At 39.4% G+C, this 23,036-nt stretch overlaps 1 protein-coding gene across 4 annotated transcripts, besides 1 other annotated feature; it reads right to left on the bottom strand.

Annotated features, from left to right (window-relative positions):
• Nucleotides 1-908: 908 nt before the first annotated feature.
• HSD17B7 (hydroxysteroid 17-beta dehydrogenase 7) lies at nucleotides 909-23,030 on the bottom strand. 4 transcript variants are annotated; one of them, NM_016371.4, is made up of 9 exons: nucleotides 22,897-23,030; nucleotides 20,870-21,073; nucleotides 17,055-17,147; nucleotides 15,816-15,930; nucleotides 13,795-13,989; nucleotides 10,197-10,301; nucleotides 9,409-9,465; nucleotides 8,240-8,338; nucleotides 909-1,434 (listed from the first exon to the last, which is right to left on the bottom strand). In NM_016371.4, exons 1-9 carry the CDS (start codon nucleotides 22,929-22,931, stop codon nucleotides 1,312-1,314), a joined length of 1,026 nt encoding a protein of 341 aa, NP_057455.1. In that variant the 5' UTR covers nucleotides 22,932-23,030; the 3' UTR covers nucleotides 909-1,311. The 4 variants fall into 4 exon arrangements, 3 of the variants coding, with proteins under 3 accessions (NP_057455.1, NP_001291441.1, NP_001291442.1); XR_007060779.1 differs by lacking the exons at nucleotides 909-1,434; nucleotides 8,240-8,338; nucleotides 9,409-9,465 and adding an exon at nucleotides 10,783-10,900 and having other exon boundaries at nucleotides 10,214-10,301; NM_001304512.2 differs by lacking the exons at nucleotides 909-1,434; nucleotides 8,240-8,338; nucleotides 9,409-9,465; nucleotides 10,197-10,301; nucleotides 13,795-13,989 and having other exon boundaries at nucleotides 15,590-15,930.
• Nucleotides 21,446-21,646: a silencer, noted in NCBI's record as "peak435 fragment used in MPRA reporter construct". NCBI's record gives its function as "represses an SCP1 promoter by STARR-seq MPRAs in K562 erythroleukemia cells {active_cell/tissue: K562}" and the evidence as "EXISTENCE:reporter gene assay evidence [ECO:0000049][PMID:32103011]".

Genomic DNA, 23,036 nt, shown 5'->3' with positions numbered 1-23,036 from the left:
CATGAAAATGGGCTGGTCACTAATAAATTTGCAAATAGTGTTAAGGGTCGGGCCCAATATTAGCATCAACTCCCTCAGAATCAATAAAAGATATTTTTTAAACAAGAAATAATTCAAGTGACCCAAACATCTATCTATTTGGTTTTTGTTATTAACCACATGGGCACCCACATGAGGATTGTTAGGATTCTAACAATCTTAAGATTGTCAGAAGCAACATATGGAGGAAGAAATAAGGCAAAAGAGCTAAAAAAAATTGCTCATAAAGCAACAAAGTTCCGACTGCCACTCAGATAGTGGGCAGTACTTCCTTTTGCTGGGGTCAGGCCAAAGAAAGGAGCAGTGCGTGCCTGTGTCACAATTATTCAAGTCCACCTCTTGTCCCATGGAGCACAGCTTAGGCCCCAGTTGGCAGAATAATATAAACAGATACTCTGTTGGGTGACTCAAATAATTTTTATTTTTACATAAAATCTTTCCGAAAAGAACTCTAATAATTTTGATGTGATACCACTCTAGAGAATAACTAATTAATATTTTTACTTAATCAATTTTTTATTTTTGAGATGGAGTCTTGCTCTGTCACCCAGGCTGCAGTGCAGTGCCACGATCTCGGCCCACTGCAACCTCTGCTTCCTGAGTTCAAGTGATTCTCCTGTCTCAGCCTCCCAAGTAGCTGAGATTACAGGTGCACGCCACCACACCTGGCTAAGTTTTGTATTTTTAGTAGAGATGGGTTTTTGCCATGTTGGCCAGGCTGGTCTCAAACTCCTGACCTCATGATCCGCCCACCTCAGGCTCCCAAAGTGCTGGGATTACAGGCTTGAGCCACCGTGCCCGGCCCAATCTTTTTCTCATATGCATACACATACACAGTCTTGGAGATCATTCCAAAAGGAAGGAAAAGAGACAGTCATAGTTCATAGTTTATTACAAATGCATATTATCCAACTCAGTAGAAATCCATGTACCCCAGAATGTACAGAAGGTATGCAATGTTCCAGAGTGTCATTGTCAGCTCTGGTTTTATATATATATTAAATATATACATATTTTGAGACAGGGTCTCGCTGTCACCCAGGCTGGAGTGCAGTGGCACAATCTCAGCTCACTGCAACCTCTGCCTCCCAGCCTCAAGAGATCCTCCCACCTCATCCTTCTGAGTAGCTGGGACTACATGCGCATGCCACCACACCCAGCTATTATTTTTATTTCTTTTTGTAGAGACAAGGGCTCACTATGTTTCTCAGGCTGGTCTTGAACTCCTGGTCTCAAGTGATCCTTCTGCCTTGGCCTCCCAAAGTGCTGGAATTATAGGCATGAGCCACTGAGCCTGGCCTGATTATCTGTTTTTTGAATAGTGACCCTAATGTGCTTTTCCAGTTCCAGTAACTTTTGATAAAATTTTTCAGCAGTGTCTTCATCTAGGTCCATCTGGAAAAGAAGCAAAAATAGAGATGTCTAGAAATGAAAAATAAGATGAATAGTATTTGTATAAAAAAAAGGCATTCAATATATGAAATAAAAAGAAAGGAGGCAGCAGGAAAGGGCCATGGTGGCAGACACGTGGAAGAAGCTGAGAGCCTGAAGACATACTAAATCTCAGTCTCAGTTCCAACACTCACCAAACCCACTGATGCTTCCCTTAAACAGCAAGACTGAAAGATCTGAGTTTTGCTATCTCCCCCAACTTTTATATGCCCAGTAACAGAAGACACCAACCAACTGGTTATCAAAGGACAAAACAGAAAAATCAAGAGTTTTGTGAGTTTTTAATGGCTACTCACTTCCTAATATCAATCTGGCTTAGTAAAAGAGCCCTGGTTTTAGCTGGGCTCACTGCCCTCTGGATATAAGACGATACTTCAGCCTCCATTGAAACAATGGGTGCCAGAGCCATGAGACTATGTTCTGGCTAGTGAGATGTAAATAATACCTGGAGTCTCTTCAAGAGAAATAAAGCATCCCTTTTTTCTTCCCTTCTTCCATACCACTCTCGAGCCACAAGCCTGAGGGCCATGCCCTAAAGATGGCCAGGTGGTGATTGCAAGGAACTTGAGTACCTGACAATTTGTGGACTTGCCATGGCAGCCTGAGACTGCCTCTCTCCTAAATGCTTTTACATGCAAGAAATTTAAGATTCTATCTAGTTTAATCTATAGTTATTTTACATTCTTGTGTTTCATGCAGAAAATCTCAACAGTATGTACAGGCAAACTTTCAGCCCTTTTAAATAGTGATATCCTTTCATCAAGCCAACACAGAGCCTAAACTTCAAGAACAGCCTCTTTGTTCACAAAATTGAAAGGCTAAAAATTAAATAAACTTTTGAACATTTTGAAAATAACATTTTTAAGGGCAGCCAGAGAGAAAGGTCGGGTTACCCACAAAGGGAAGCCCATCAGACTAACAGCGGATCTCTTGGCAGAAACTCTACAAGCCAGAAGAGAGTGGGGGCCGATATTCAACATTCTTAAAGAAAAGAATTTTCAATCCAGAATTTCATATCCAGCCAAACTTAGCTTCATAAGTGAAGGAGAAATAAAATCCTTTACAGACAAGCAAATGCTGAGAGATTTTGTCACCACCAGGCCTGCCCTACAAGAACTCCTGAAGGAAGCACTAAACATGGAAAGGAACAACCGGTACCAGCCACTGCAAAAACATGCCAAATTGTAAAGACCAGCGATGCTAGGAAGAAACTGCATCAACTAACAAACAAAATAACCAGCTAACATCATAATGACAGGATCAAATTCACACATAACAATATTAACCTTAAATGTAAATGGGCTAAATGATCCAACTAAAAGACACAGACTGGCAAATTGGATAAAGAGTCAAGACCCATCAGTGTGCTATATTCAGGAGACCCATTTCATGTGCAGAGAGACACATAGGCTCAAAATAAAGGGATGGAGGGAAATCTACCAAGCAAATGGAAAACAAAAAAAGGCAGGGGTTGCAATCCTAGTCTCTGATAAAACAGACTTTAAACCAACAAAGATCAAAGAGACAAAGAAGGCCATTACATAATGGTAAAGGGATCAATTCAACAAGAAGAACTAACTATCTAAATATATATGCACCCAGTACAGGAGCACCCAGATTCATAAAGCAAGTCCTTAGAGACCTACAAAGAGGCTTAGACTCCCATACAATAATAATGGGAGACTTTAACACCCCACTGTCCACATTAGACAGATCAACAAGACAGAAAGTTAACAAGGATATCCAGGAATTGAACTCAGCTCTGCACCAATCAGACCTAATAGACATCTACAGAACTCTCCACCCCAAATCCACAGAATATACATTCTTCTCAGCACCACACAGCACTTATTCCAAAATTGACCACATAGTTGGAAGTAAAGCATTCCTCAGCAAATGTGGAAGAACAGAAATTATAACAAACTGTCTCTCAGACCACAGTGCAATCAAACTAGAACTCAGGATTAAGAAACTCACTCAAAACCACTCAACTACATGGAAACTGAACAACTTGCTCCTGAATGACTACTGGGTACATAACGAAATGAGGGCAGACGTAAAGATGTTCTTTGAAACCAATGAGAACAAAGACACAACACACCAGAATCTCTGGGACACATTTAAAGCAGTGTGTAGAGTGAAATTTATAGCACTAAAAGCCCACAAGAGAAAGCAGGAAAGATCTAAAATTGACACCCTAACATCACAATTAAAAGAACTAGAGAAGCAAAAGCAAACACATTCAAAAGCTAGCAGAAGGCAAGAAATAACTAAGATCAGAGCAGAACTGAAGGAGATAGAGACACAAAAAAACCCTTCAAAAAATCAATGAATCCAGGAGCTGGTTTTTTGAAAAGATCAACAAAATTGATAGACTGCTAGCAAGACTAATAAAGAAGAAGAGAGAGAAGAATCAAATAGACGCAATAAAAAATGATAAAAGGGATATCACCACCGATCCCATCTGAGAATACTATAAACACCTCTACGCAAATAAACTAGAAAATCTAGAAGAAATGGATAAATTCCTGGACACTTACACCCTCCCAAGACTAAACCAGGAAGGGGTCAAATCTCTGAATAGACCAATAACAGGATCTGAAATTGAGGCAATAATTAATAGCCTACCAACCAAAAAAAGCCCAGGACCAGATGGATTCACAGCTGAATTCTACCAGAGGTACAAGGAGATGGTACCATTCCTTCTGAAACTATTCCAATCAATAGAAAAAGAGGGAATCCTCCCCAACTCATTTTATGAGGCCAGCATCATCCTGATACCAAAGCCTGACAGAGACACAACAAAAAAAGAGAATTTTAGACCAATATCCCTGATGAACACTGATGCAAAAATCCTCAATAAAATACTGGCAAACCGAATCCAGCAGCACATCAAAAAGCTTATCCACCATGATCAAGTGAGTTTCATCCCTGGGATGCAAGGCTGATTCAACATACACAAATCAATAAACGTAATCCAGCATATAAACAGAACCAAAGACAAAAACCAAATGATTATCTCAACAGATGCAGAAAAGGCCTTTGACAAAATTCAACAACTCTTCATGCTAAAAACTCTCAATAAATTAGGTATTGATCGGACATATCTCAAAATAATAAGAGCTATTTATGACAAACTCACAGCCAATATCATACTGAATGGGCAAAAACTAGAAGCATTCCCTTTGAAAACTGGCACAAGACAGGGATGCCCTCTCTCTCCACTCCTATTCAACATAGTGTTGGAAGTTCTGGCCAGGGCAATCAGGCAGGAGAAAGAAATAAAGGGTATTCAATTAGGAAAAAAGGAAGTCAAATTGTCCCTGTTTGCAAATTACATGATTGTATATTTAGAAAACCCCATTGTCTCAGCCCAAAATCTCCTTAAGCTGATAAGCAACTTCAGCAAAGTCTCAGGATACAAAATCAATGTGCAAAAATCACAAGCATTCTTATACACCAATAACAGACAAACAGAGAGCCAAATCATGAGTGAACTCCCATTCACAATTGCTTCAAAGAGAATAAAATATCTAGGAATTCAACTTACAAGAGATGTGAAGGACCTCTTCAAGGAGAACTACAAACCACTGCTCAATGAAATAAAAGAGGACACAAACAAATGGAAGAACATTCCATGCTCATAGATAGGAAGAATCAATATCATGAAAATGGCCATACTACCCAAGGTAATTTATAGATTCAATGCCATCCCCATCAAGCTACCAATGACTTTCTTCACAGAATTGGAAAAAACTACTTTCAAGTTCATATGGAACCAAAAAAGGGCCCGCATTGCCAAGACAATCCTAAGCCAAAAGAACAAAGCTGGAGGCATCACGCTACCTGACTTCAAACTATACTACAAGGCTACAGTAACCAAAACAGCATGGTACTGGTACCAAAACAGAGATATAGACCAATGGAACAGAACACAGCCCTCAGAAATAATGCTGCATATCTACAACCATCTGATCTTTGACAAACCTGACAAAAACAAGAAATGGGGAAAGGATTCCCTATTTAATAAATGGTGCTGGGAAAACTGGCTAGCCATATGTAGAAAGCTGAAACTCGATCCCTTCCTTACACCTTATACAAAAATTAATTCGAGATGGATTAAAGACTTAAATGTTAGACCTAAAACCATAAAAACCCTAGAAGAAAACCTAGGCAATACTATTCAGGACATAGGCATGGGCAAGGACTTCATGTCTAAAACACCAAAAGCAATGGCAACAAAAGCCAAAATTGACAAATGGGATCTAATTAAACTAAAGAGCTTCTGCAAAGCAAGAGAAACTACCATCAGAGGAAGGCAACCTACAGAATGGGAGAAAATTTTTGCAATCTACCCATCTGACAAAGGGCTAATATCCAGAATCTACAATGAACTCAAATTTACAAGAAAAAAACAAACAACCCCATCAACAAGTGGGCAAAGGATATGAACAGACACTTCTCAAAAGAAGACATTTATGCAAGCAAAAGACACATGAAAAAATGCTCATCATCACTGGCCATCAGAGAAATGCAAATCAAAACCACAATGAGATACCATCTCACACCAGTTAGAATGGCGATCATTAAAAAGTCAGGAAACAACAGGTGCTGGAGAGGATGTGGAGAAATAGGAACACTTTTACACTGTTGGTGGGACTGTAAACTAGTTCAACCATTGTGGAAGACAGTGTGGCGATTCCTCAAGGATCTAGAACTAGAAATACCATTTGACCCAGCCATCCCATTCCTGGGTATATACCCAAAGGATTATAAATCATGCTGCTATAAGGACAGATGCACATGTATGTTTACTGCGGCACTATTCACAGTAGCAAAGACTTGGAATCAACCCAAATGTCCAACAATGATAGACTGGATTAAGAAAATGTGGCACATATACAGCATAGAATACTATGCAGCCATAAAAAAGGATGAGTTCATATCCTTTGTAGGGACATGGATGAAGCTGGAAACCATCATTCTCAGCAAACTATCACAAGGACAAAAAACCAAACACCGCATGTTCTCACTCATAGGTGGGAACTGAACAATGATAACACTTGGACACAGGAAGGGGAACCTCACACACTGGGGCCTGTTGTGGGGTGGGTGTAGAGGGGAGGGATAGCATTAGGAGATATACCTAATGTAAATGATGAGTTAATGGGTGCAGCACACCAACATGGCACATGTATACATATGTAACAAACCTGCACGTTGTGCACATGTACTCTAGAACTTAAAGTATAATAATAATTTTAAAAAAAAGAAAGAAAATAACATTTATCTTCAATCAAGTTAGAGTTTTTCCATAATGGAGCTGGAAGAAGCATTACAGAACTCTTCTAGTTCAACCCCATCTTTTAACAGAAGAGAAAGCTGACTTCCCCAAATTAATCAAAGGTTAAAATACTTTCTTCAATGCATTTCCATAAAATGCTAATGAGTATGTCAGTTTGTAGAACTAAACATTTTCCCCTTGATAAACAAATCATTCCTTCTAAGTTAATAGATAGTAAGTTCAAATACACCCTGCTAGCCTAAAGTAAGCTATTAGTTTACAATAGAATTCCCCAAAGGGATGTTACAGGTTATGTAAAATTTGCTTTAAAAAATATTCATGGTGAAGTACTGAAAACAGCAGGATAAAATATTTCACACACATTTCTTAACTGTTTCAACTTCTCACAGCCTTTACTTTGCTGATGTATGCTGTACAAGTCTCTGAAAGAGGGGAATGTAATATGAAGCATGGTTCAATTTTACTTGCTAGAGGAACTGCTTCTTGCAAATCTTCTCAGGAAACTAGTATCCCACAGAACATATTTTGAAAAACCTGGAAGGTTCACTTTTAGTGAACAGATAGCACAGGAAGCCAAGTGCATGGCTCCCCTTTTAACTCACGCTACTAACAGAGGCCAAGATCAATGCCGGTTACTTGACTTACCTGCGATAACAGTCACCTCAATCTCATTTTATCTTATGCTAATGCCTCCTCACAACAGGCTGGACAGTGGAAAATCAGGGGCTGAAACAAACCTTACGCATGACAAAAGTACAACAAAGTAGTTCTCTTAGTTTAAAATAAATTTTCTTATTCCCCAGTATGTAACTCTATGTTTGATTTCATTTTAGATTATACCAAGTCTAAAAAACACAGTACTGACATTTTTTTTCTGCACATTATTCTGTTCCTCTTCAAAACACCAATCTATTAAAGCTGACAATTGTCACAAGCAGAATTGAATACTCAAAGGGAAGTTAACTTCACACAGAAAAACACTTCATATTTCATTCAACTTGCAACGTATTTACTGAGCGTCTACCATGTGTAAGGCAGCCTGCTAGGAAATGGGGTATGACCCTCCTCCTCAAAGAGCTTACATTCTGACAGGGGAACCCGAAGGTGAACAAGCATGATCTGCAACAGGTACGAGATGTCAAGAAAGCCTATTACAGAGGCACCCAGGCCCGGTCTACAGGGTCACTAAAGGCTATGGGATAAACTGATCTGAAGGATGAGCACAAATCAATCATCAAGAGGCTGAGAGCAGCTCAAGTCGGGGGAATAAGATGTGCGAGAAGCAGGAGGGAGCAGGATGAAATAAAATCAGGCCAGTGTGATGCTGGTGAACAGTGAGTACCCAGAGAAGCGAAGCTGGGGGGCTGAGGGGCTGGTCAGGAACACAGGCTTAATTCATCAACCCAACAGCAAACATCAGTGCAACAATGTAAGCACATTTACCTTCTGGGTCATAATGTAATTTCTTCCAAAGCCAGTGGTGGCACTCAGATATTTGATCAGAGGATTGAGAGATTCAGGCTTTTGGTGGAAAAGCCATACCTGGAAAGGAAGGATGTGTCAATGATTTGTTTCTTCTGCCCAAGATGAGTGAGGCTGGTGGAGATTCACAATCTGCACTTTATAGAGCTCCCCAGACAAATTATAAACATCCTCTCAAATATCATCAGTGAATGGTTTGGCAAATATATTGAGAACCAATTAAAATATAGTTTAAAAGCACTTGCTTCTACAACCAATTTGTATTCCTACAATAAATGCATTTATTTCTGTAACACTTACCAAAACAAGAGCATCAAAGCCAATTCCATTTATGTTTTCCTTAGCTAATCTCAATTAAGTCAAGATTTAAGAATCTACTAAGTACTACAATGCTAGGTCCTCAGGTTTCCAAAGTGAATAGCAAAAATCCTGAAGGAGTTCAATGGAATGAGGGAGACAAATGTAAAGGACTGACTCAGATACAGTGGGCTTTTTATGTAGGACAATTCTGAACCGTTAGCAGAGGCTGCCTCTGGAGCTCTGGGTTGAAGAATATTCAGAGACATCACGTGTGTATAGCAGAAAGGAGTATTATAGCCCATTAGTAATGTCTGCCATTGATGAGGAAACACATGCAACCCATTTGCCACGTGTGATTTAACTCCACTGGCTTCCTAATAAAATAACAACTTGATCTTCTAAGAGAGGGAAGAAAATCTTCATAGAGGGGAATGGTGTTCAACCTTGTTGTCCTGGCTCTTGACCCACAAAATGCTCTTTCTCCACGGGAAATCACAGACTGATTGTGCAGTCACCGTCCTGCTCTGCCTGTCCCTCCAGCTTCCCATTGCTCTGTCTCTCCTCTAGCTGCTGGTGTATCTTGCCTCTAAAGAAGTGCTTTCCCTACAGTCATGGTGCCCAGTGCCATGGTAGATGTTAAACTTGCAAACTTCACTCCTAATGTTCTGTGCTTAGCCTTATAGTCCGCTTTAGTTCCAAACGGGACCTCAATTATTCACAGAGCTTATTCTCTTATTATCTTTTCTGTTGAAATTATTTCTACTACGAGTGAACCTGTAATTCACATCTGCTAAGTCATCATACAAGTTATAAAAACTTCAGTAACATACCAGAGCTTCTGTTCCATTATATGGTGTCAAAGTGAATGCATTTGCAAAAAAGCGAAGCTGCGGAAAAGAAAACAACTGTTATTTTTTGGTGGTTTAGAATAGAGTCACGAAAGAATTATTCATTTAAATATTTTTTAAAACCCTGCCTTTCTGATTATAGAACACTTTTTAAGTAACAAAAAATAAAGAAGTCAAAAAAGAAACATCATTTAATCTCCATTATTCCAAATCCACTACTTTTAACATGAAGGCCTATTTACTTCTGATCTTTACTTTATGCCTGCCCTAAGGAAAAGACACTTCTTCCTGAGCCCTAAAGAGAGAATCATTTCCTAAAAGTAGCATTTTTCAAGATGTGCCACAGAAACAATGGTCCTGCAAGACGTTCAAATCACAAAACAAAAATATGGTTGTATAGTTACATAGTACACAATTATCCCCTTCTTGGGAACTTTTGATGCACAGGATCAGTTTGAAAACTTAGAGAAGTCCAGTTTAACAATGTTCAACATGGGTTTTCTAAAATTATATGATTACAGAACTCTTGGGATCTGTGGTGCATGAGCAATGAAACACTCCTTTAAAGAGAAGTAGACACTCAAATGGTGGTGTGGCAGTAACACTTAGAAATATTAAGCAGAGGTTTCACATTAAGTAAGTTCAAAAACCTCAAGTTAAATGGCATTCAGGTTCAATTCCTTAAATCATTTCCCAACCCTTAAACATATCTTCTAGGTCCCAAAAAGAGATTTTTATGAGTTAAGAAAAGAAGTATATTCATCACTTACTAGCAATATTGCCGGCATCAACAGCGTCCATATAAACGGAGGCAGAATTCCATATGTCAAATTGGTCAATGCTGTACCTGGACAGGCCACATTGGAATAGAGACCCTAGGAACAGAGAGGTGTAGCAATGAGACTTTAACTCAGTGTATATTGACTCAGTCCAGCTACATGCTAGTTAATAAAAGAGGTATGTACATGAGCCAGAAGTCAGGTAATAAAGAATTTATGTTCTGAGTTGTCTCTGAAGTTGGGTAGAACGTTTATGTTGAAGAATCATGTATTAAGAGAACCCACTGTGAGAGGCACCCAGGATGCAAAAATTAGTGGGACAAAGTCTCTATTCTCATGAACCTTGCAGTATAAAAAATAACCAATCTTAACGCTGGGGGAGAAAAGCAGGGCCTGGTTATCTGAGTTTTTCCTATTATTGGCTTAACTGAAGATCAGCTTTTTAATCATAATGAGCATTTAAGATTAAAAGATGTATGGAGTACAGTCCTTGCCTTCAAGAAGTTTCTGGCCTAATAAATAGACAGCTAAACCTAAAGTATGTGTCTGTTTCCCTGCAAGTACATAAGACCCATACCTCTAGCTTGAGGGGGGTGCTCCCGGCATTAGGCTGTATGTGCTATCACAAAACTTTCTCCAACTGAAGATCTCTCAATCAGGTCCTTAGCCTAGAACTCATTTTAGAAAGTTCCACCCTACAAAGAGAGCCCCAATTAACACAGAGCTTATGTTAATACAAAGGGTCCTATGTGATCTACAGTTAAGTCCTGGAGCCCTGGGATCATGCCTCTTATTGGGATTTGTTTTACTATTTTATTTAGTTTAATTTATACTATACATTTTACTTTATTTTGATATTGACTATTTTAACTCATTTTTATCATTTTTAAACTCATTTTTTCTTTTAAATAAAAAAATAGGAAGTGCCAGTTTAACAGACAGTTCAATGGACAGACAGCACCCTAAGCAACAGAACCTGGAGGCTTTTCATCCTTTATTTGGTACTGCAGAGGCTTGGCACTGCCTGACATGGATCAACCATCCCTGAGAATCCCCTTGATTTACCAACAATCCTCTAGAAAAAAGTCAAGAGCTAAGACTTATCCTCATGATAGTCCAAAAGTTTTTCCTAAGAAAACAATGTGCTCTGCCCCTAAAACAGCTAAGGAAAAGTTCTTATTCTAGGAGCTTCCTAGGATCACTTGGGGACTATTCTGTCCTAAACGAAGAAATCTTCAAACTAAAATCCAGCGTTTCCAACATATACAATTTTCTGATGTTGAGAGATAAACAAAAAAGAAAGAAGAAGACAATCTTAACCAAGACTGTATCCTTCCATTTGTTTAATTATAGGGATTAAATTGTGATGATCCTGAGTATTTCTCTACAGCTTGAGTGGGGGAGCATGCATGGATAATTAAAGTCTATCAGGCAGTCTATATAGAACCTGACAACATTTCCAGTAACACAGGGCTTCAAAAGGAATCCTGTAATGTTATTCTTTCTCAGCTGCTTCTTTCCTCATAAAGGCCAAGAAGAAAAAGTCATTGGCTGAGAACCAATCTCAACAGATTTTACAAGCAATAGCTAAATCTCCCTCCTTCGTAAAAGATAAAATCCCAAAGCTCACTTGATAATTGAGACTTAAATAGAATCCCAGACCTTTTTATGAAAGGAAAAGCTAATCCCTCTAAAAGGGAGTTCTCAGAGTATCAGGAAGCAGTTGTGACAAGTTTTTAAACATCTCAAGAAACTTCAGAAGGAGGTGCACAATTGGGCCAACATGCTGAGTCCAACCTGCAATATTAACAGCCAATACAAGAACATGTACACGCATGTGCAGCCCACATGCACTGACACCTACACACATGCACACACCCAAAAAGTACATTCACAAACACATGTGCACACACCCATAAAACCCGTACATGTACATATGAACATGCTACACATGGGTAGGCACACAAATACATACCCACACTCATGTATATCCACATGTACATATTTGTACAGACACATGCACACACAAACTCACATTCTGAATACAAAACACTGCTGTGAGTGCTTCATACAGATCCCCCTCAGTCAATCTTCCCAATAAATCTGTGAGGCAGGCACTATTACTATCCCTATTTTTCAGATGAGGAAACTGAGGCATAGGGAGATTAAATAATATGCCTAGGGTTACAAAGAGTCAGGATTCAAATTCAGTTCCCGAAAGTATGCTCTTAGCTTCAACTTTATAAGAGGCATGATTCAGGCTGGGCGCAAGTGCTGTAATCCCAGCATTTTGGGAGGCTGAGGCAGGCAGATACCTGAGGTCAGGAGTTCGAGACCAGCTTGGCCAACATAGTAAAACCCTGTCTCTACTAAAAACACAAAAATTGGGTGTGGTGGCACATCCCTGTAATCCCAGCTACTTGAGAAGCTGAGGTACAAGAATCACTTGAATTCAGAAGATAGAGGTTGCAGTGAGCCATGATTGTGCCACCGCACTCCAGCCTGGGCAACAGAATGAGACTCTGTCTCAAAAAAAAAGGGGGGCATCATTCTAAGAGCCAGAACACAGAATACCACCTGATAAAGGTAGCAATTCCAGAATAAGCCAGGTCTAGACCATCACATAAGAGTTATATTTCTATGTCTAATTCATGATCCAAGAAGCTCCGTTGAGGTAAAACATAATTCTTGATCATCATCTTATTTCACTTTCCTCCTCAACCCTAAACCTGGCCCAGTGCCCTAAACATGATAGGTCTTTTGTAAATGTTAGTGAAATTAAACTTCTCCATAGCCCCATACTCATAGAACACTGTCAATCAAAGCAAACAAAAGAAAATGTCCAAGGCGAAGACTGGAGATTTCCAGGTAAGAATTTAGACCTGGGCAACAGAGACATACAAAGAAGCAGTAAGGTGCAGACCATAGTGGCAACAAGGACTCAGTATGACCAACAAGGGTCACCATCCCCTGAAAAACATCCCATAAACTGAGATCCTCATAGAGACAGAGCTCTGGAGTCTTACCTAAAACCACCACTATCCAGAAGGTTTCATAACTACTTGACTGTCCTATAAACGTCTGCTATGACAAACACTAGGCGGCAGCATGGTACAGTGGGAAAAGTCCAAGCTATAAAGTCAAGACAGCCTCGGGCTCAATTCTGAGCTCTACCATTTACAAGTTGTGTGACCATCAGGTAAATGACTTAAGTTCTCCGAGATTTAGTGTCCTCATCTGAAAATGGTAATACTTAGACCCACCTCCATGTAATGAGGCAGGTATTTAATGACATACACAGACGAATACAGCACCTGAAACACAGCAAGTACCAACACAGTAGCTATTATCACTTTTAGTAGTGTCACTCTGTTAACATAAGTTAGAATTCCTGAAGAACCACAGAATGAACTACCTATAACTATAATGTCAGGAGCCAATTATCTCTGCCCTAACACTTTCATATACACCAAATATCAATCTAAACTATAAGAGTTAGTGGAAAGCCAGCTACCTTATTAGGAAATCAACAGCAGGTAATTAAGAGAACCCTCCTCTGCCATTTCCGTATCACTGAGACAGGCCTTACCTGCTGGTTGAAGTTCCTGTTCAAAGCCACACTCAAAAGGTCAGTGGCATATTTGGAAGAGCTGTAGGGTTCCTTGCCTTTGCTGTGCTGGAAGTCCTCGAGGCTGAAATTAGATTTCCTTGCACTGCGAGATGATGTCCAGATGAGCTGAGATGGATTGTCACTGTGACAGAGGAGAGGCTCCAGTTCCCGAATCTGGGTGAAAGAAAAAAAAAAAGTATTAAAATATACTGACAGAATACAGATAAAAATTTTGAAACCACTGTACTGTATGGTAAGAGATTAGGGTCAGAGACATCAGTATTAACTAGTTATCTAAAAGAGACATGAATTAGTTACACAGAAAAATATTTATAGATATGTATACATACATGAGTTAGTATGTACATATATATCTCTTAGTCTATCAGCAGAGAGGGTTTAGAAGACACTGATATCTCAGCAGCAATAAGCACCCAGATCTTGGTTTCTAATAACCATTCTCTGATAAAAGAAAACATATGGCTTTAGAAAAGTAGCTGATTCTAGGACTGAACAAGGAAATACACAAGATGAGTCTGAAGGATCTTGTAGTGCCAGATAGTAAGAAACTGCTCAAAACGAAAGCTAAAACAAAAAGAGAAAACCATAACAATGGGGGTGTGCCAAAGAGATACAGGAGCCAACTGAAAGCGTTCCCAGTGGCCAAAACTGAAAAAATTTGAGCAGGAAAATAAAATAGTATTTATAATTTCAAAGCAGAAAATACATAAACATGAGTCCATATGGATATAATAAACGACTGAATTAAAGACATAAATAAAGGAGAACTGACAATCTCCCTTGTGGAAAAAATCCAAATAATTTCTGTAGATAACCCACTCTTAAGGAGGTAGAGCACTAGCCAGTATGCATTGGCTGCACATAGTAACTTTCTTTCTTTTTCTCTTTTTTTTTTTTTTTTGAGACGGAGTTTCACTGTTGTTGCCCAGGCTGGAGTCCAATGGCATGACCTCGGCTCACCACAACTTCCGCTTCCCGGGTTCAAGCGATTCTTCTGCCTCAGCCTCCCAAGCAGCTGGGATTACAGGCATGCGTCACCACACTCGGCTAATTTTGTTTTTTGATAGAGATGGGGTTTCTCCATGTTGGTCAGGCTGATCTCAAACTCCCGACCTCAGGTAATCTGCCCGCCTTGGCCTCCCAAAGTGCTGGGATTAGAGGCAGGAGCCACCGTGCCCGGCCCAACTTTCTTTCAAAAAGTAGAGTATGAAAAGGGAGAAAGAAAAAGTAACTTAACAATGGAAAAACCTGACAAACATGACCTCAAGCCAGGTGATCAAGGTTAATATCAACACTGAGAAGTCATACTGATAGCATACACCCTTGATATGATGTCATGAGAATGTCACTTTACCTCTGTGGCCTTCCTCCCAAAAACCACATTCTTCAGTCTCACCATGAGAAAAACATCAGACAAATCCCGATTGAGAGAGTCTACAAAACACCTAAGCAGTACTCCTCAAAACTGTCAAGGTCATCAAAAACAAGGAAAGTCTGAGAAGCTGTCACAACCAAGAAGAGCCTAAGGAGACATGACTGCTAAATGTAATGTAGTATCTTGAATGGGATCCTAGAACTGAAAAAAGACATTAGGCAAAAACAGAACCTGAATAAAGTGTGTACTTTAGTTAATAATAATGTAGCAGAATTGATTCATCTATTTTGACAAATGCATCATACCAATGCGAAATGTTAATAATGGGGAAACTGGGTGTAGGGCATACAGAAAGTCTCTGTACTATCTTTGCAGTAATTCTGTAAATCAAAAACTATTAGTACATTTATTAAAGAAAAATCTACTAGGAAAGCTTCCAGAAGTATTCCATGCTCACAATAAACAAGGCAAATGCAATCAAGAAAACTCAAACATGAGATTAAATCAGTTAACTGGCTGCTCAACTATAATAATGCCCTGTGCCCAGAGCTTTACAGAAACTATCACACGAAATATTAGCTTATTAAGCCCACAGCTTCTTTACCAGGATAAAATGGCCAAAGACATTGGTCTCAAACACCTCCTGAAGTCCATCAGCAGTGATCTTATCACCCTGGGTCAGCAGGCCTTCAGCTGTGGAGAACATATGAATCACTTTTCTGAAACAGCAGAAGATAATTGCATGACTTTTTAAAGCTTCTTTAACTGGAAATACTGAAAACACTTTCCAACCCATCCCCCCGACCCATAAACTACACCTCCCTTGATTCTATAATGACAGGAATAAAAATACCTATTTCTCAGACTGGGTTATTGTATTAAATGAAATGCCAAAGACCCTCCTTCCCCCCACTAATTCACAGAAATACTTACATACTTATAGCTCACGCTACCAATAGGAACTTGAGTCTCTCAAAAACCTGCTGCTAAAATTCTCTTCACCTCTTTCCCAATCAGGTTACAGGTAAACTGTTCTAAAGGAATAATAAGCTATGCCAAAGGGAAAAAAAGTTTTCCTGTGCACAAAGTATGTTTAACTGTCAAAAAAAAGAGTTAAACAGATTGTTTTTTTAACTGGGAATACTTCAAACGTATTAATATAGTGTTCTGCTGGGAGGTCAATTTAGTAGGTCAAAATCAATGCGGGGAGAGAGAGACAGAGAGAGTGTGAGAGTGTGTGTGTGTGTCTGTCTTTTAATGGAAAAGAAGTAAAGCAAAAGCATTGGTATAGTAAGCAGCACATAGTAAGAATGCCTATTTATGAATAAGTGTATTGGGTCACAAAGTAAGATCTATTCCTATAAATAAGAATTCTCCTGGTTGTGTTTCAACATTTTTGAAAGCCACTACACTAATGAGTAACGAGAATCTCCCAGGAAACATTAGTTGTCTGCATTTCCCCAACCTACTGGTCAGAGCACCTGACATACAGCTGGGAAACAGTTCAAAGTAACTTTCCTGGAAATTGGAGACTCTCTGAGAACTCTGCCTAATTTCAAAATGTTCTTGCTAATAGGCATATCCAGGCAGACCAAAAAATGACCTTCTAAACCATTTAGAATGTCCTGGAGACTTAGAATACCATAAAAAACGGGACTTTCAGCACTCCCCACAAAAGAGGATTGCTTTTCTTTCATGATATGGTTGCGACATCTCCTTTTTCTGTCTTCAACCTTTTCAACAACCCCTTACCTTTCATCCCCCCAACTTAACATGCCATCAAAACTAGGCAGAAAAATGAACACATTCCTTCCAATCAGTTCATCCATAAAACGAAAATTACCTTGAAAAGAGGCCAAAGAAAAGTGCTTTGATATTTAGTTGTGGATTAGGCATGATCCCAGCATTTAGATATATACAGTCTAATCTCTGAAACCTGCAAGTAAACCACCAAACAAGATTGTGAGTTGCAAGTAAAAACATCAGGACAAGATTGTGTATTCTATCTCTAGAGTGACTAGAATCAAGGAGGCCTAAGAAAGACAAAAAATACTTTTTAAATTAATATATTAGCCACAGCAAGTTCAGAAGAATTTATAGCACATTAGAGTTACAGCATTTCTTTCTCAACAGTTTTTCTTTAGCTACAGTAAACATTTGAGAATTCTTTCTTTGGTAGTGGCTTCAAACAGAATCTGTGGAGTCATCGTGGGCTTTAAGTAAAACCTCTGATCAATAATTCCTTCCAGCTCTGTCCTCTCAATAAGGAATTGCAGCAACCCTCTATCTCTTAAACCCACTCTCCTCGTCTTACAAAGTGTCTTGCTTTAAAAAAAAAATCCACATCTCCTCTGGTTGACAAGTAAAATTTATATACTATTGATATTCACCTGACCTGATCTATTAATGCTGAAATCTGAATGCCAAAATATATAATAAAACAGAAGATCCATGTGGAAACCTTTCAGTGTTCATGGACAAGTCCTATGTATCCTAAAATGATGAAAGTTCGTAAGAATACACTGAGATTATAAAAGATAAATGGGGGTAAGGTAATCTTGTTGGGCTCCCCCCTGAATACTTGTCACGGAAGGGATATGAAATGCTGAGTTGAAAAAGCATTTTCAGTTTTAAACCTATGTAAGTCTTCATCTAAGACTCTTCATCTAAGACTTACATAGGTTTAAATGTACTCATTTTGAACTAGGTTCAAGGCAGGTAAAGCCTGCTCTCATGATACTCACAGACACCATAAATATTCAGAATATCTCCTAGAGTTCTATGTACCAAACTGTCTCTGAATAACCCAAGATATTAAGAGTCATAGCTTCTAAACTTAGGACCCTGAAATACATACATGGTCTTCAACACAGATCACATACAACCATTTCTTGATCATCCTATAAATAATTGACAAATGACTCAAATTATTAAATTGACCATTTAAAATGCTGATATTATTACCATCAGTTCATCATGTAAGTGCCACAAAGATAGTGTGAGTTCATCCATTGTTGCTTGTTCTATTACCTTATTTGCCAACTTTTATCTATGAATATTAACATATTTGGCTAGGAACGGAGAGGAAATGTTTAGTAAAGACATCAAATTAAGCTCTGGCTTCAGTAAAATGACATACCACTCATCAATAAAATAATTGATACATTGCTCTAATATGGATAAAACAGCATCACTATTTCTTACTAGTTTTCATCTGCACTATCTAATAGAAGAGAATGCTACAGATGGAAAGACCAGGTGTCAGGGATGGTGCTACTTGAGCCATTAGAAGGGATTCTCAAGCTCTCTTTAGCTCTAGTTTATTTCAGACTTAGAACTGAAGAGATCCATTTGAGCCACTGGGTGTAGTTTCTTGACATAAGTAAGAATCTATCTGGACACTTTCATATATTCCAAACTTGTGAATATCACTATAACCATTCATTTCCTAAACTTGAATTGACACCAACCATCTCAAAAAAAAGGCTGTTTTGCGGACTAAATACCTCAAAACTTCACTAAAATGCTGATGACAGGTACCTGGGACAACTCACTTATCACCTGAAGTGCTCCCTTCTGCCCCACAGCCTCACTGCCTTGAATCTGTGCTAAGTTGCTAAATATCTTACGAAATACTAAATTACTGAACTCGCGATAAAGTACCGAATATCTTGAACCTTTGAAGGCATTTGGGAATAGTCAGTACTATAAATGTTAAAACTTTGGGTCTCAAAAGTAAACTGCATCGGAATGGGATATTATTAACTGGGAAATGAAGGTTCTTTTCTTCCAAATAAGAAAATATAACAAAATCTAAACAAAGCAGGTAAGAAGCCAGCTGGCTAAGAAAGTTTGGGAAAAGAATGCCTGTAAACATGATTTAAAACTCATAACTTCTCTCAACTTCATGGTTTTTATCTCCATAAGGACATTCAGTATACAGTTTCACAGCCCTGGAGATGCTTAAGTTATGGAGGAGTAGGGGATATGGAATATATCAAAATTTATGTGAAAACAGAACCTAGAAAATCTCAGGTTTTTTGTTTTTTTTTCTTTAAGATGCGGTAGAAAACTCTAATAGCTCAGCAGTACTGGAGAGAGAAACCACATTTACAAAGGACTAAGGCCACACTGAGAAGAGCTGGAGTGAAGAAAACTAGCTTTCACTTTGTAACTTGTGCATTTGGAACAGGCAAATGCAAATGATTATCAATTCACATAAAATGTGAAGTATTTTTATTCAGCAAACATCTTCATCAAGAAAGCCTTCCTTGTTTCTACCCATTTCATTCTACTGTCCAAGGAAACAAGGTAGTTCTTTGTCTCTTAAGTGCCTCAATATTTGAAAATTAATTATTCCAGATAGCCCTAGGGCAGCATAGACTAGTGCAGGGTTCTTGGACTTTTTTCATCATAAATTCCTCTTACAATTTAAAAACAAATAAATAAATAAAAAGCCCTCTCTGCTCAGAAAAATGCATTGTGCACCTACATGCAATTTTGTGTTCACTTTCAGGGGAGTTATACATCTGAGGACTCTATTCCTTCATATACCAACTATTGATCAAATGTCTATTACATGCCAATTACTGTGAAGGTGTGAACAAATCTTTACTGGCCTAGGGAAAAAAAATACCCCTTAGGAAGCAGGGAGAAGCCCTGGGGTCTTGGACCCACCCAACTAATATAAGATTGGATGACCTTCCCAGGCATATTACCCTTATTTCTGTGTCTCAGTTTCTTCACTTGTTAAATGTCACTCACTACTTGCCTTATCTACTTAATGAATTCATTATGTGAAGAAAGATGTAAAAAATGAATTCAAATGTCAAAGGAGTTACCTTAACGTAAGGCAGTGCAACTGATCACACATCAGGATGTACTTACAAATTAGTCTCCATGAAATAATTATGATCATGATTGAGATTGAAAATGTGGTACTGGCCAAGTGCAATGGTTCACACCTGTAATCCCAGCACCAACTGATCGATCACATATCAGGATGTACTCATAACTTAGTCTCCATGAAATAATTATGATCATGACTGAGACTGAAAATGTGGTACTGGCTGGGCGCAATGGCTCACGCCTGTAATCCCAGTACCAACTGATCACACATCAGGATGTACTCATAAATTAGTCTCCATGAAATAATTATGATCATGATTGAGACTGAAAATGTGGTACTGGCCAGGCGCAATGGCTCACGCCTGTAATCCCAGCACTTTGGGAGGCCGAGGCGGGTGGATCACGAGGTCAGGGGTTCGAAACCAGCCTGACCAACATGGTAAAACCCCGTCTCTACTAAAAATACAAAAATTAACCAGGCATGGTGGCGCATGTCTGTAATCCCAGCTACTCAGGAGGTGGAGGCAGGAGAATCACTTGGAACCCAGGAGGTGGAGGTTGAAGTGAGCCGAGATCACGCCATTGCACTCCAGCCTGGGCAACAGAGCAAGACTCCATCTCTTTAAAAAAAAAAAAAAAAAGAAAGAAAACGTGGTACTGAGACACAATGGGTCACCCTATACAGACTTCCTCAACATAACTGCTTACACCGCACCTGTTTCTTTTCAGGTTTTTCTTTCCTCTCTTATTTTATTAAGTGTTATGCTGCACAATCACATGAGAAAAAAAATCCATCAGCAAGAGATATACCTTTGCTTAAGTTCCTTGGAGGCCCGGAAGACCGACTGCAGGTTGCTGACATCCACCTGGACAATGGTGACCTCAGCAGTGGGGTGAGAGGCCAGCAGAGCAGCACAGACAGCTTCTGCCTTGCTCATGTTCCTGCACGCCAAACACAGATGAAGCTCATCATCTTCCGCCAGCAGCCGCTTGCAGAGGGCCAGGCCAATGCCACTGGGAGGACAATTCAGACACAAGATGTGGGTTATCTGGGATGGCATCAGGTACAGGCATTTCTCTCTGGTTCAGAAAACTGTGTCAAGTTGACCTCCAATGAGAAGCCCAGATAGAAAGAAAAGACTCAACAATTATTTAAGAAGGGAGGAATCCTACACTCCAATAGTCACTTGCTTGAGACACAGCCTAGTTTGTGTTTTTCTCATTTTGAAAAACTTCAATGACAAAATAACTGGACTGAAAACAAGAATTGTTCTTTAGTTTTTCTACTACTGGGCTTTATCCTGCCAGTGGTTTTCATTTTGTACCTATTATGTCACTCATGAAAATGATTTAATATATCACCAGTAAGGGCTCAAAAGAGCATCTTATTAGCTGTTTCCTATGTGCATTTTGACTTTGCTGTCTAGGCTCCTCAGGGGCAAGGGCTCTACCACCTACTGGTATCGTAAACACCATAAGGAGCACCAGAAATCTCTGATAAAGGAACAGATGAATCTTTCAGGATGAGGCATCAGTAACATGGCAGGATGTACAAATCCCTCTCAACAACTATGATTAAATAATAGAAAAAGAAAGAACTCAACATGATTAAGTAGAAGGTAGGAATACACTAAATATTAGATGAGTACACCACTTGGAAACAAAGAACTTCAAAACCAGCATTGTAAAACCGCATAGGAGTGGTGACAGCAGTCAGACCAGCCTGGCTGATAGCAATGAAAAGCTGGGTAATAAGTTCTCTTTCAAGACTTAAGCTGATTCCAGGCAAATATGTTAATAGTTAAAACCCAAAAAGAGCCTGGAACCATCAGTAATCTATTAGCACCAACAACAAAGCATCAAAAATATTTATTTGTCCTCACATGAGAACAGTAGGCATTTAATATACAATTGCACATGTCACAATATATGTAAAAGAAACAGACAAAATCAATTCTGACTTACTCAGTACCTTCCACATAAGAAGCACCAATCAACGGTTAAAGTCACTTGAGAGGGTATGCTAAAAAGTTGCCAAATGCAGACACCTACCAAGCTGGCTTAGTTAATACGCATGTGGTTAAATAATTGAAAGTGGATCAATCTTAAATGTTTAACATGTCCTCTGTCTTAATCATTTAAAAATGCCAAATGCAACTAGTAGAAAAATGGTTTGATTGGCTTCATCCTCCACACATTTTTCACAGAAGTGCAAATGACAGGTAAAACAAGCAACAGAAGAGGCTGAGAGACTAAACGAGCAACCCTGGAATTATTATGAGCTGGTTATTCTGCACCCCAACCATGCCTTCATAGGAAAAGATTAATTTTCTCTGGGTTTCTGAAGAGTATGTTAGCTCTCTAGCACTGAGCTAAATGAAACGGGATTGTTTTCTCTCCACCGTCCTAATGTTCATGGGTGTTCAAATTTGTAGGCAAAAGGCTTGTACAGACAAAACACCTGGAGTATAAGACATGATCACGTGGTCAGGAGCAAAATATTGGGCACTGACGATAAATACGAACAGTAGGCAAAGATGGAAAAGGGGCGGAGCCCGCCTGAGTACCCCATTGCCTTGATAACCTCAGGATCATCACTGCGACACTCATCACTTACTGATGCTCTAGTTTTCCTTTTCACTGTCATGTTTAATACAAAGCACCAGTTACTGAGCACCTCAAGAGGCCGACATGCCCCACACCTGCTGCAGACTCCGGGGAACCTAGGCAAAGCCAGGGGCGGGCGCTTCCGGGGTCCGTTCGTGGAGGGTCGCAGACCCCTGCTCTCTCGGACCCCTGATCCGCTGCCGCCTCTGCCAACCCAAAGGAGGCCTCACCTGCTAGCCCCGGTGATCAAAACCACCTTTCGCATCTTCGCGCACTCACACTTCCAAGCAGTGAAGCAAACACCGCCGCTGCTTTCGGAAGTCCTACGATTTCGGGCCGCCTCACCCGTCACCAATCAGAGTACGGCCAC

Source organism: Homo sapiens, chromosome 1 (assembly GCF_000001405.40).
Source record: "Homo sapiens chromosome 1, GRCh38.p14 Primary Assembly".
Taxonomy (NCBI): domain Eukaryota; kingdom Metazoa; phylum Chordata; class Mammalia; order Primates; family Hominidae; genus Homo; species Homo sapiens.
The sequence above is the reverse complement of the archived record's forward strand: the minus strand, read 5'-3'. Positions and strand labels throughout refer to the sequence as shown.